Source organism: Homo sapiens, chromosome 10, assembly GCF_000001405.40.
Source record: "Homo sapiens chromosome 10, GRCh38.p14 Primary Assembly".
Taxonomy (NCBI): Eukaryota; Metazoa; Chordata; class Mammalia; order Primates; family Hominidae; genus Homo; species Homo sapiens.
In genome coordinates, this window is record NC_000010.11 from 116,568,823 (window position 1) to 116,583,935 (window position 15,113).

Sequence of the window (15,113 nt, forward strand, 5' to 3'; positions counted from 1 at the left end):
GTATGACTTTCCCACTAATGGGACCAACGAATGAGTCCACTAGGGTCAGGTACTTAAAATTAGGCCATGTCTAAACAATACATCCTAAGAAAGAAAGGGATATTTGTGTTAGGTCTTAAAAGTTGAGTAGGGATTTGCTAAGAGGACATGGTGGAAAGGGCACTCCAGAGACAAGGAACAGCATAGCCAAAGGCACAGGGCTATGAAAAATTGAAAATGCCATTTATTCTGTATTTCACCAAAATATATGAAGTTAATCAACACACAAAGACTTGTTAAAGGGCCACCCGTTTATATTAATTAGGATGTTTCACTTGCATGAATCAAAAGCTCCAATTCAAAGTTGCTTTAACAACAAGGAAGTGTTTGGCTCACATGATTGGAAAGTTCAGAGGTCGAGGAAGCTTCAGGTTTTGATGACCCAGTCACTCAATAACCTCTTCAAAAGCCACTTTCTTTTTCTATCTTCTGATATCTATGGTGCTAGTTCTATACCAAGTCTGGCTCCCTTCTCAGTTGAAGAATGGCCATCTCCCACAATTGAGGCTATAAACATTTATTTCACATTCAACAAGGAGAGAAAGTGCATCTTCTTTCCTATTTTTTTCTCACAAAACTTGTGAGATTCACTCTTATTGGCCCCTGACCATGGGAGTAGAATGTGCTGATTGTCTTAAGTCAATCAGTGAACACTCCTGGGCAAAGAACAAGGCCAGCATCCTCAATGTACATGAACTATATAGAGAAGGAATTGATATCTAAATGAAAAAGGGAGTTAAGAATGACTCATGGGTCATCATTACAACTGGAAGGATGGAGTTGCCATTGCCTGAAATGGACATGCTTTGAGAGGCACGATTTTGAAGAGGCAGGTCAGAAGGTCAGTTTTAGTCATGTCAAATTTGAGAGGCTCATCAGGCATGCAACTGGGCATGGCATGCTGGCATTTGGATATATAAGCACAGAAGTGAGGACAGAAATCTAGGTTAGACACATAAACTTTGGCATCTTTAGTCTATAGATGTCATTTTTAAGCACTGCACTTCCCTGTAAAGAGAATAATGCAATGTTTATCACGTGAGTGCTTAATGAATGTTTATAATTGTAATTACCATGAGGACCTCATGAAACTTTCCTAAACATTAATGATAATGATGAATAATGAATAATAAAAATCAATGAAGAAATAGGATTATGTGCAAATTTACTCATTTAATAAGATTGAACAAAGGAGTTTAATTTTTAAAAATCAGTTAAAAATCTTTTGTAAAGAAAGATATCCATTTTCATCATAACGAAGCTGTTTCCAAGTTAGTTTAATCATTTCAAATGAATGGTTTACTCAAATTATTTCTATATTTCTAAACTCAATAAATTTTTTGGAAATACTACTTTTAGAACCCTAAATCAAATTTTTCTTCCCCTAAGAGATGAACATTTGTGAAAGGATGCTGATAATGTTCAGAATGCATGATGTAAGATAGTGGTAGAGACAATGGCAGAGAATTGATGAATTTGTTAATTCAAGAAGTGCTTAGAGAATGTTGACAATGTGCCAAGCCCTAGTCTAATATCAGAGAACTAAAGTTGAAAATATAGGTATCATCCCTACCCTCATGGAGTTTTCTGTCTTATTTGATGTTTCTCGAAGTGTGATCCACCTAATAGAAGACAGCTGATGAATTAGTTGGCTAGCACTGCATAGCACATCACCCCAAAGCTCAGTGACTTAATAACAATAATCATGTATTATGGTCCTGTGGGCCAACAGACAGATCTCCTGATCTGGGGCAGGGTTGGCTGATTTTGCTTGGTCTCACTCATGTATTTATTGGTGGTCAGCTTGTAGGTTGGCAGAGGGCTGGATGGTTTAGTAGGGCCTGTGTGCATTGGCTTTCCTCCACATGATCTCTCATCCTTCAGCATGCTAGCCTGTGCTATTGAACTTGAACTCCCAAGGGACCAAGAAAATGAGCATAAGCAAGGAAGACTGCTTGAGGCCTAGGCTCAGAAGTAGCAAAATATCATTTTCCCCACATTCTATTGAACAAAGCAAGTCACAAGGTAAGCACAAATTCAAAGATGAATACATAGACTCTATTTCTTAATGGGAGGAGCTTAAAAGTCATATTGCAAAAGGCATTGCTAGGGAGAGTAGCAGGGAACTGGGACCATTTTTGTAATCAATCTAGGTGGTTTCTCAGTTTTAGTAAGGAATGTAATAGAAATATTTCTCTCACTTTTGACAAATTTGGGTTATAAAATCTATTAATATTTCCACAGAAATTCCCTTCCTTTCTTAAGAATTGTGGTCATATGTGATGCAGAGGCCCTCTGACATTTTGCCTCAGCATCATTTCCTTCACTAAGAAAACATTTTTTGTGGGTGAATGTATTTTCACATCATTTGCAAGTAGTAGCTTACTCTCATGTGTTAAATGTGCATTTTATATTATTCTCATTCTGTTAAGTTATATTCTCATTTTGGGCTGTGAAAAAAAATCAATGGCTTCAAGTGGTTCATTGAAGTGAAAAAGCAGCAATGAAAATACTAACACAAATACAATATCTCAGAATAAGATTGTAACTGAAACAGTGGATAAGACTCATATGAAACTCCCCCCTATCAATCTTTATATCTTGAAACAAGTGGAAAATGTGGTGTTGCTAATGGGATACACAACAATGATCAACTAAACTTGGCTGATACTAGATCTGAGATCATTTGTCCTATACAGTATCCTGTACCCAACTCCCTGTTCTGCATTGCTTTTAGTCACGAATATTTGCCCTAAGTAGAGTTGATGATGTTGACGTTTTCATAATATTTTCAAATAATATCTTTGTATGCTCAGATAAATAATTGATCTTTTTCTAAAACAAGCAACAAATAATGCTTTCCAGGATGAAATCAATTAATTTTGTAGTTAAAGGTAGAAATAAACCCACAGCTACAGTCATTATTCAAAATTACATTTCTTGTAGTAAAAACTGTTGCAAATCACACTATCACACAGAAGCCTAAAAAACAAGCCAAAATAATAATGATACCTGTTATACTGGGGGAGAAAACGAAAAGTATGCTATCAGCCAAATTCCCTTATCACATGACTACCTTAGATGTTACATAGCATCATTGGCATATTGTTTACTATCTGGAGTGTGCTGGAGAGATGTCTCACATTACAATTGGACGGCCCCATTCATGTGCAGACTTGGAATTGGTTTCTGGCACACAAGGCACAAGGAAGAGTGCTTCATATATTTCATTTTTTTGTCTACTTGATCATTTAATTTTCATTGAACGTTGTTTTGTGAGCCATAACACAGACAGAAAACAAGGCGCTGGGATCTACACGGATAGAACCCCAACTGTGTTTGCATCAGGGAAAAGTGTGGCTGTTAAGATATAAAAGGTGGCAAAAAATTCTAAATCTCAGAGAATAACGGCTGGGTGGTCAGCTAAATGCGTCATGTTCCTAATAAAATGTTGAAAGAGGCCGGGCACGGTGGCTCACACCTGTAATCCTAGCACTTTGGGAGGCCGAGGCGGGCGGATCACGAGGTCAGGAGATAGAGACCATCCTGGCTAACACGGTGAAACCCCGTCTCCACTAAAAATACAAAAAAAAATTAGCCGGGTGTGTTGGCAGGTGCCTATAGTCCCAGCTACTTGGGAGGCTGAGACAGGAGAATGGCGTGAACCTGTGAGGTGGAGCTTGCAGTGAGCCAAGATCGCGCCACTGCGCTCCAGCCTGGGCGACAAGAGCAAAACTCCATCTCAAAAAAGAAACCTCTCACGACCCCCTGGAATATTCCTACTGACTTCATTCTATTAAGCCTCAGCTCAGGAAACAAAAGTTCTGCTACAAATTATCACAACAAAAAGGAAGATTTATTTCTATAACTGGTAAAAATAGATTATCATCAAAATGGAAACACATAGTAATTTCTCAGAGAGAGTCTGCCCAGGAGCCCTGGGAGTTAAATACTCCTATATCAGGGCGGACTCTCACCTAGCTGCACATGGGAATCACCTGTGGGCTTTTTAAAGGGGCCTGTGGCTTATGATTACCCTTTAATTGGTTGGGGTGGGGCCTGGGATTTGTCTGTTCTTTTTTTTTTCTCCCAGGTGACTCTGGTTTGCAGCCAGGATGGAGACAAACTGGCATGTCTTGATTGTGTTTTGGCTTCGTGCACCTTGGAGTTGTATGCAGGAGGCGGAGCTTGCAGTGAGCCAAGATCGCACCACTGCACTCCAGCCTGGGCGACAGAAGGAGACTCCGTCTCAAAAAAAAGAAAGAAAGAAAGAAAGAAAGAAAGAAAGAAAGAAAGAAAGAAAGAAAGAAAGAAAGAAAGAAAGAAAGAAAGAAAGAAAGAAAGAAAGAAAGGAAGGAAGGAAGGAAGGAAGGAAGGAAGGAAGGAAGGAAGGAAGGAAGGAAGGAAGGAAGGAAGGGAAAGAAAGAGAAAGTTGAAAGACAGAGTGAAAATTGTAACTTCAATAGAAATCTCTCTTAGCCTCCACCTAGCCAAATCATTGTTTTCACTCATTTTCTCCATTGTTACAGTCAACTCCATTCTTACCTCTGAGCCTATTGATCATCTCATCTCCTTGAAACATTTTCTTCTCTTTGTCTCCAGGACACCACTTTCCCTTGGTTCTCCTCCATCTTCACTGGCTGTTTCTTTTCAAGTCTTCCTCATTTCCCTGTGCTTGTAACATTGTAGGGCCTTAGGGTTTAGCACTTGAACCTCATCTCATCTAGACTAATGGCTTTATGTGAAATGGATGAACCCCAAGTTGATGTTTATTACCTGGACCTCTCTTCTGAACTACAGAATAACTGCCTACTCTCCATCTCCACTTAGACTCTAAGAAGACATTTCATTTTAACCATGCCCAAAACTGAACTCTGGGTCTCCCCCTCAAACCTGCTCCACTGACATGCAGCCCTCCCCATCTTAGTTAATGCAATTTCACCTTTCCAGTTGCTCAAGCCAAAATTTGGGAGTCATCCTTAACTCATCTCCATTTCCCCAACTCCCATCCAAATCCTGTCAGTCCTGTCTTCAAAATATATCTGGAATTTGGGCAATTCTCATCATTTCTGCTGCTAGCATGAAAGAGTTCTGGGTCTTAATTATTCACAGGACCTCTGACAGCAACTAGGAGTCATGCAGAAGATATACAACTGACAATGAAACAAGGCATGAGTGAATGAATGAATTACCAGGATCAAAATATCAAGAGAAGTGAATTGACAGAACCATCCAGTTGTCAGCCACCCTTAACAGAATTCAATTAAATGAATAGTTTCTGAGCACTTAGCATGGGCCTGGCATGTAAAATTTTTTCAATTTTATTGAAGTACATTTTACACACAAGAAAATGCACCCAATTTAAGAGTATGGTTCAATGAGTTTTGAAAAATGTATATATCCATGTATACAATCAAACTCTTGAAAAATGTATATGTCCATGTGTACAATGAAACATTTCCATTATTTCCTGAAAACATTCCCCTAATTCACCCCCAACCCAGGCAGACACTGACCTGCTCCCTGTCATTATAGATTAGTTTTGCCTGTTCTAGAATATCATGTAAGGATAATAATGTGGTATGCATACTTTGTTATTGTGTTTCTTTTATTTAGTTTAAGATGCTTGAGATACGTCCATATGGCTGCATTTATTCATAGTTCTTTTCTTTATATATGAGTGGTAGTCTATTGTATTAATATAGCATAGCTTTTTATCCCTTCATCAGTCAGTTCACATTTGCATTTTTTCCATCTTGGGGCTACTATGAATAAAGCTGCTATCTTAGTCCATTTTGTGTTGCTATAACAGAATACCTCAAACTGGGTAATATACAAACAATAGAAATGTATCTGGCCCATGGTTCTGTAGGCTGGAAAGTTCAAGATCAAATGGCTGCATCTCATGAGGGCATTCTTGCTGTATTTTAACACAGTGGAGTGCGTCACATGGCAAGAGAGCATGCAAGACAAAAGAGATGGGTGAACTTGCTTTCATAACAGACCTAATCTCAAAATAACAATCCTACTCCCACAATAAAGACATTAATCTATTCATGAGGGCAGAGCTCTCATGACCTAATCACCTATCTAAGATTCCATCTGTTGCATTGGGGATTTATATTTCCATCACATAAACTTTCGGGGACACATGCAAACCATAGCAACTGCTACAAATATTCACATAAAAGTCTTTGTGTTGACACATGCTTATATCTCTCGGGCAAATACCTAAGTATGAAATTGCTGGTGAATATGTAAGTGATTCTTTAATTTTATAGGAAACTACCAAATTGTTTTCCAAAGTGATTGTAAATTTGATACTCCCACTAGCAGTTTATGAAAAAAGTTCCAATTGTTCCACATCTTTAGTATTGTCAGTTTTTGCCATTTTACTTGGCTATAATGGTATTTCCTTGTGATTTTATTGTACATTTCTCTGATGACGAAAGATGTTGAGCATCTGTTTGCATGCTTATTGGCCATTCATAAATTTTTTGGGTGAAGTGATTGATTAAAATGTTTGCCTTACTTTTATTAGGTTGTTTGTTTCATTAACTTGTGAGAGTACTTTCCATAGCCTGAATACAAGTCCTTTGTTAATGTGTTTATTGCAGACACTTTTTCCCAGTCTGTATCTTGCCTTTTATTTCCTTAACAATGTGTTTTGAAGACTAGAGTTTTAATGTTCATAAAACCCAGTTTATCATACTTTTATAGAGTAAATTTTATGTCCTGCTTAAGAAATCTTTGTCTACTCTAAGGTAACAAAGATTTTCTCTTATGTTTTCTATTAGAAGGTTTTGGTTTACTTTTTACATTTAGACCTATGACTTTCAGCACTTTAAATAAGCTATTCCATTTTCTTCTGTCTCCACTGAGAAGTCTGAGGTCATTCTTATCTTCTTTATCCTGTAGGTAATGTATCTTTTGGTCTCTCTGTCAAACTTTGATAACTTTTTTTCTTTATCATTGAACTTATTTTTGCCTTTGTGTGATTTTCATTGGATTTATCCTGATTTAGATTGTCCAACTTCTTAGTTATGCTTTTCATATTCATTCCTTCAGTTGTTTGTTTATCCATTCAACAGGAATGTGATGAGGGCCAATGTACCAACCACTGGGGAAGATGCTAACATGTCACAATGAGGCCCAGAAAATTCCAAATTTCTCTGAGTTTATGACCCACAAATGATGGTGATGGTCTCAAAGGAGGGAAGCTCAAAGAGAAGGCTGTCTTTGAGGGAATAGAGTTACCAATCTAATCAGGGCTGAGACATGAAGGATTGTGTAGGAATTTGCCATGGTTCCTATTCACTGGAATTCCTCCCTTGTCTCTTATGCATTCTTTCTTTATTTTAACAATTCCCTTGCCAAACTTTCTTGAACTTTCCTTGTACACAAATAATTTTATTGTTTTTCTCTGTATCTGAGCAGGGAACTAAATTATTTTTGACCACTTTTGACCTACAAACATGGCAGTTTCAGTGATTCGACCTGTATCTATGACATTGTCAGGCTAAATGGTTCTGGTCTTGTAAATTGTAATATCATTTTGTTGTCTTTTAAAAATTTATTGGAAGCAATATATCACAAAATCATCCTAGTTCCTTCTATCAAACGTTTCCCTTTCAGATTATCTTTTCTAGACCATTTTTTCCAAGTTGAATCATATTTTCCTTTCTTATTGATAACTCCATCAGACGGTGGGGTCGCTGATTCCTCCTCTGTGCTCTTGGCTGGACTCCCCCAATTCCTTTTGTCAGCTGGTTTATTCTTTCCTCCATGATACTGCTGAGAAATAAATTAGTTCTACAAACTATCAAAATAACATATCAACTACTTTTCTAGAAGGAATAAACTCTTGAAGGATTGCTTTTATTTCGCTGTTTTTGAGGAAAAAGCGAGGTTATACAGAAACTGCATGACCTGGTAGGCTCTTGGTATTTGTTCATAAGACTATTGTCATTGCATCTGTAAAAACAATGCCCACAGACCTGCACAGAGAATTGTAAACTAAAAAGGGGCAGGGACACTAGAACCTTCACTACAATGAAATTATAGTGATTCTTAGCATTACATAATTACACATCTACCGCCTTTCTCATCTTCCCACAACTACTGTGGAAAACATTACCTACTCTATCAACCTTGGCTTACCCACAATTAAAATTAGAAATACATCCATGGAACTTTCTCTCTTTGCACGCCACTTTTCCATGGTACTCCTCAAAAAGATAAGCTTTACCTATAAAAGGACCTTTCGTTGCTGTCTGGTTGTGTGTGGAACCTGACAGAACTGCCACAGTGAGTCAGGAACATGTTTTCCAGGCCTAACTTAACAGAATTTACCCATTTTCCCAGAGAGGGCTAAATGAACGTGAATTATGCCAATCTTGTAAAGAAAAAAAATCTTAGATTCAATCATGTTTTTAACTTTGTGTAGATGCTGCTACTCTGGACTCTTTCAGTGCTGCTGGGAGCAGTAACAGGTAAGAAAAAATATGAATATGGAGTTGGAAAAGATTCACTGTTCAATAGTCAAGAGGGCTATGGCAGCCGAATTCAAGGCATGACGTGGATGACAAGAGAGGGAGATGCATGGCTAACAGCACAGGTGCTTGGAGTAGGGTTGTCAGATAAAATCTAAGATGCCTAGTTAAATTTGCATTTCAGATAAATGGCAACTGTTTCCCACAAACATGTGATATATTTATATTGAACATGTTATTGCTTATTTGAAATTCAAATACATATATACAAGTTAAATTTTAATTTATTTATTGTTGTTGTTAAATCTAGCCACTTTAGCTTGGGGTCAAGTGAGGGGTTTGAACCCTGGTTCTGCCACCTACAATTTTATTATCCTGAGCAAAATCATTAACCCCTCTGTGCTTCAGAATCTTTGTCTGTAAAATGTAAAGAATAGGATCCCCCCTCTCCTGTGTTATGAGAATTAGGTCAGATTAGCAAACCATCTTGCCTAGCACCTGGCACATGGTAAGATTTTGAGAAAAGCAGCCCCCACAACAGCAACTACTCTTACTCCTACCATTAATCTAGATTTATCCTACTCAGGAAAGAGAACAACACTTCTTTGGATTGTTTCTTTATGGAGTGACATTCAAGCCTAGAGTTGTGTTCAACCATGGACTTTCGGTTTGGTTGTTTGTGAACAGCTTCTTCATCACAGGAATGAAGATGACCTTCAGTACAGCAAGGATGGAGATACATGGGTTTTGTGGCCTTTCCATGAAACTTAAGCTCTCCGTTCAAAGCCCAGAGTTATATTGGCCCAAAGCCCAAAGTACCAAAGGCCCAAAGAAAACATTTGAGTTTAGAGGCTAAAAGGAGTCTCAGAATGGGACTGGACAGAGACACAAGGGAAGTGAGGTGGTCTTATGTGGTAGATTTTAGGAACAGTAGCCTGTATGTAACAGTGGCATTTTCTGTGAGCGTTTGGCTAAGAGGGTGTTTGGGGAAACAGAGGAGGAAAATCTGCCACAAAATGTAAATTAACTCACATTTTGGCAGAGAGGCTATTAAAAAGAGTGTTCTGGTTAAACTAATATCCTTGAAACACATCTAGGAGATTGCAGGAACAGAAGTCTGTTACCCAAGACTCGGCTGCTTCAGCAATGATGCCCCGTGATCAGGAATTATGGAAAGACCTCTCAAAATATTGCCCTCGGCTCCATAAGGTGTCAATACCTGTTTCCTTTTGTACACCAATGGGAACCTAAATGACTTCCAGGTATGAATGCTTATTGTTTTCAGGACAAAGTTCCATCTGATTTATGTATATTGTGGCACTATTCACAATAGCAAAGACTTGGAAACAACCCAAATGTCCAACAACAATAGACTAGATTAAGAAAATGTGGCACATATACACCATAGAATACTATGCAGCCATAAAAAATGATGAGTTCATGTCCTTTGTAGGGACATGGATGAAACTGGAAACCATCGTTCTCAGCAAACTATCGCAAGGACAAAAAACCAAACACCGCATGTTCTCACTCATAGGTGGGAATTGAACAATGAGAACACTTGGACACAGGAAGGGGAACATCACACTCCGGGGACTGTTGTGGGGTGAGGGGAAGGGGGAGGGATAGCATTAGGAGGTATACCTAATGCTAAATGACGAGTTAATGGGTGCAGCACACCAACATGGCACATGTATACACATGTAACAAACCTGCACATTGTGCACATGTACCCTAAAACTTAAAGTATAATAATAATAAAATTTAAAAAAAAGAATGTTGAATATACACATATTCTAAAGAGAACAAATCAGACAACGGAATTGCATCCATAGACACTTTTAGGGCAGTGATCTGAACTGTTATTTTATGTAACTTTTTATTAAAAGTTCTTCAACTTCATATTATTTTTGTTCTACCTTCATGGTACCATTTAACAAGTATTCTAAATATGAGGAGATTTATATATATTTTTACTCTATACATAGTAAAAATTCCCAACATCATATGTTCATATAATCTCCCAATTATATATATATCTCTATATTAGATGGGTAGAGTACAGATATATATAGATACACGCACACATACACACAAACGCACCAAGCCTTCCATTGTGTGAAGAGAAGATCCTTACCACCAAGATTATAACAGATACATTATCCCAAGTTGAACAATTGCAAACATGTTGTGATGACCAGGAAATAGCAACATAGTGATGATTGAGAATAGCGTGGTTGTAATGGGAGAATCATTATTCAGAAGGATCCTGAATCCTAGTAGTCTTCTACTTACCGCCTCCCTCCATGTACGAATGGCTCTACTGGCTACTATAAGAAACTGACATGAAACGCTTTTCTGCCTAAACAGGAACTCATTGCAGATCCATCAACTATCAGGCATTTCCTGGGTCCAGGCAGTGGTTGTTTAATAACTAATACAGAGATGTTTCAAAATTTCAGCAAAAGTTCCTACCATATTGAAGCATTACGGCATGTCCCAGGCCCGTTTTTCACTGCTTTTTTTTTTTTTTTTTTTTTTTTTGACACAGGGTCGGCCAGGCACAGTGGTTCATGCCTGTAATCCCAGCACTTTGGGAGGCCAAGGTGGGCGGATCACCTGAGGTTGGGAGTTCGAGACCAGCCTGACCAATATGGAGAAACCCCATCTCTACTTAAAAAATACAAAAATTGGCCAGGCGCGGTGGCTCATGCCTGTAATCCCAACACTTTGGGAGGCCAAGGCGGGTGGATCACGAGGTCAGGAGATCAAGACCAGCCTGGCTAGCACGGTGAAACCCCGTCTCTACTAAAAATACAAAAAAAAAATTAGCCAGGAGTGGTGGTGGGCGCCTGTAGTCCCAGCTACTCGGGAGGCTGAGGCAGGAGAATGGCATGAACCCAGGAGGCAGAGCTTGCAGTGAGCCGAGATAGCGCCATTGCACTCCAGCCTGGGCGACAGAGCGAGACTCTGCCTCAAAAAAAAAAAAAAAAATTAGCTGAGCTTAGTGGCGCATGCCTGTAATCCCAGCTACTGGGGAGGGTGAGGCAGGAGAATCGTTTGAACCCAGGCGGCGGAGGTTGAAATGAGCTGAGATAGCGCCATTGCACTCCAGCCTGGGCAACAAGAGCGAAACTCAGTCTCAAAAAATAAAAAAATAAAAAAAAAAATTGGCCAAACGCAGTGGCTCATGCCTGTAATCCCAACGCATTGGGAGGCCAAGGTGGGTGGATCACAAGGTCAGGAGTTCGAGACCAGCCTGACCAACACGGTGAAACCCCGTCTCTACTAAAAATATAAAAATTAGCTAGGCGTCGTGGTGCATGCCTGTGATCCCAGCTATGCGGGAGGCTGAGGCAGGAGAATCGCTTGAACCTGGGAAGCGGAGGTTGCAAGCTGAGATTGTGCCACTGCCCTCCAGCCTGGGCAACAGAGCTGGACTCCGTCTCAAAAAATAAATAAATAATAAAAATAAAATAAAGACACAGAGTCTCGCTCTCATGCACAGGCTGGAGTGCAGTGCCACAATCAAAGCTCACTGAAGCCTCAAACTCCTGAGCTCAAGGGATCCTCCAACCTCAGCCTCCCAAGTAGTTGGGACTACAGGTGCACACCACCATGACTGCTTAATTAAAAAAAAAAAATTCTTTTTTTAAGACAGGCTTTCCTATGTTGCCCCAGCTTGTCTTGAACTCCTGGTCTGAAGGGTTATTCTCCCATAGCTAGGATTACAGGCCGGAGCCATTGCACCAGGCTCTCTTTCATTACTTTTCAATTTTCATGTGATGCTCTAAGAGATCTCATCTTGGCTGAACAAAATCTTTTTCTTGATTTTCACTTGCTACTCTTCGATCTCCTCTGATAGTGATAACTTGGGAAACTGTGTAGGTTTTCATTTTTGGCGTCTGTTGTTTCAACAGCAGTGATCCCATTTTCTTTAATTTGCCTTTGGCTATGTGCCTGTTATAAAGAATGAAAAGAAAGACAATCAAATAGAATAAATTTTCTTAGTAACTGCTAGTGCTTGAGGAACATTGTTATTGATTCATTTATTCAAGTGTTTATTCATGTATTCATCACATTTCTTTGACCTACTGTGGCACAAAGGGAGAAGTCCTTTCTTCAGGTGTCGAGAAGAAAGACACAAAGGTCCTCCTAAGCCCATACAATTTCAGGTCTGCCTATGGCTCAAACCAAGGGCAGAATGAGTCAACTCCAGAGCATATCCATTGATCCTGAAGACAGATGAGCACCTTAGAGTCCATACATTTTGCAAGTTTAAACACAAGCAGTAAAACCACAATTTGTCTTCCAAAATAATTTAAAGCTGATGATTACTGGAGGTAGTAATAGATATTTATACAATAGCGAAAAATGAAATGTGATTCTTAGCTCAAAAGGAATATAGTTTTCTTAGTGAATACAATTTATTTCTGAGATCCCAAAAGCAGTTGTGTTTTTCTTGTATTTGGTTTAGCTTTGACAACACTGTTGTATTTAGATGAAGAAACAAGGAGATTAAACTAGAAGAATAAAGGTCCTAGATCCCCGTCCTGATTCTCTCCTCAGCCAACCATGATATTAGTAAAATCAAACTCAGTTCAGGATATCAGAAGTGCTGTGCCCTAAGCACACTTTTATGTTGCCATTCAAGAGTAGCCAAACTGGATTCAAGACAATCATTTCCTTGCTTTGGATATTTCCTGCTGTAAAATGAAAAAGTTGGAGATCATTTCCAAGATTGCTTTATCATTTCCAAATTATTTTTAGAAAAAAATGAGGATATGTATAAACACATAGCCAAATAAACAAAGCTCCTGCCCAAACAAACATTCATGAAACCATAACTGACCCTCATTAAACAAGTCTTCCAGTAGATATCTAGTAGGTTATATTTTCTATTGAAATAACTCTTCAGTGATGTACAATAAAATACATTCATCCAAAAGCTTTGCTTAGTCTTTCAATCATGGAAAAGCTTATTTCCTTACCTTCAATATGTTTATATAAGAGAACCTAAAGTAATATTTTATTCATTCAGTAAGTATTTACTGAGCACCTACTGTGTGCAAGAATCTGTTATAAGAATTGGATATAGCAGTGAACAAGGCAAGCAATGTCCTTAGTTGCATCCTAGTAAGGGACAATGTCTTGTGACATTTAAAATGACCTAAGGAACAACCCATCATACCACATTTTGTACATTTTTTGAAGTAAATGTCTATGTATCTATTACAGTAGAAATCCAAAGATTCCGGTTCCCATTGTGGTCAAACCTCTAGCTTAGAGCCAATGTTAAACTTTAAGAGGGATTCCATAGCCGTAAAAGACTAGAAGTCTTGTCAATTGCATTGGGGTTAAAATGATATTGTGTAGGCCAAGAAGAGAATTTATCCTAGTCTGCAAATGTGTTAACTAGTAATTAATAAAGATCCTAAGTTATATATCTATTTATTGTCTTTTTTACCAGAATCTGTTCCAGGTGGGAAGTGTGAACTGTGTCTGTGCGGACTGGAAGAGTGGCTCCCAAGCTGCATACACACAAGCCTCGCAGAACATCCAGATTGTGGAAGCAGAAGTGGCATATTTTGTTGATGTTCTTCAAGTAAGTATCCTCAGGTTGTACAAAAACCCATACACATTGCTCTCTGAATTTTCTTTCAAAAAAAAATCCATAGGTATGATTAATGACAAAGCCATTTTCAGCAATTTCTCTTTCCCCTTATTTGAAAGAAAACTGCAGGCTGGGCGCGGTGGCTCACACCTGTAATCCCAGCACTTTGGGACGCCAAGACGGGAGGATCACGAGGTCAGGAGATCAAGACCGTCCTGGCTAACACAGTGAAACCCCGTCTCTACTAAATACACAAAAAATTAGCCGGCGCCGTGGCGGACGCCTGTAGTCCCAGCTACTCAGGAGGCTGAGGCAGGAGAATGGTGTGAACCCTGGAGGCAGAGCTTGCAGTGAGCCGAGATCCCGTCATGAGAGACTCCGTCTGAGAAAAAAAAAAAAGAAAACAGCAAAAAAAATCTAGCTTTGGGCATCATCAATAAGCTTTGTTGGGTCAATAAACTAGTGCTGCTTGTTTGTTTGTTTTGATTCAAGCAACTAGGTAGGTTATTTCTAATAAATTCCATGAGTGTTTGTTTTAATTTTACCAGTTATAACCAAGTTGACATGACAATGTCAACCTCAAAATTAAACTAGCTTTTTGTTTTTGTGTCTTGAAGAGAAGCACAATGATAATAAACTGATAACCAAAAATACAGAAAATGTTATATTTGAATGTGCTTAAGTAATTGCCTTCATTATTAGTTTCAAATCCAAATACTTGCTTCATCATCTCTGGGTAACAACTCCCCATGTCCATCAGGGGTTCACTCTACATAGTAAAATCTCAAAGTAGAGCTCCTTCCACCAGTTCTGAAATTCAATTAATTTCCCTTTCTCATTATAACTGTGAAAGAGAAACATGAAAATCATTTACTTTGCATAGGAATTACCGAAGGGGGCCACAACACCTGGCCAATGAGGGTTAGGCTCATTAGCAATGCTATTGATGCAGAATATAATTAATTATA

General features: G+C 38.7%; 1 pseudogene; it reads left to right on the top strand.

Moving 5' to 3' along the window:
- Window positions 9,632-14,136, top strand: PNLIPP1 (pancreatic lipase pseudogene 1; annotated as a pseudogene).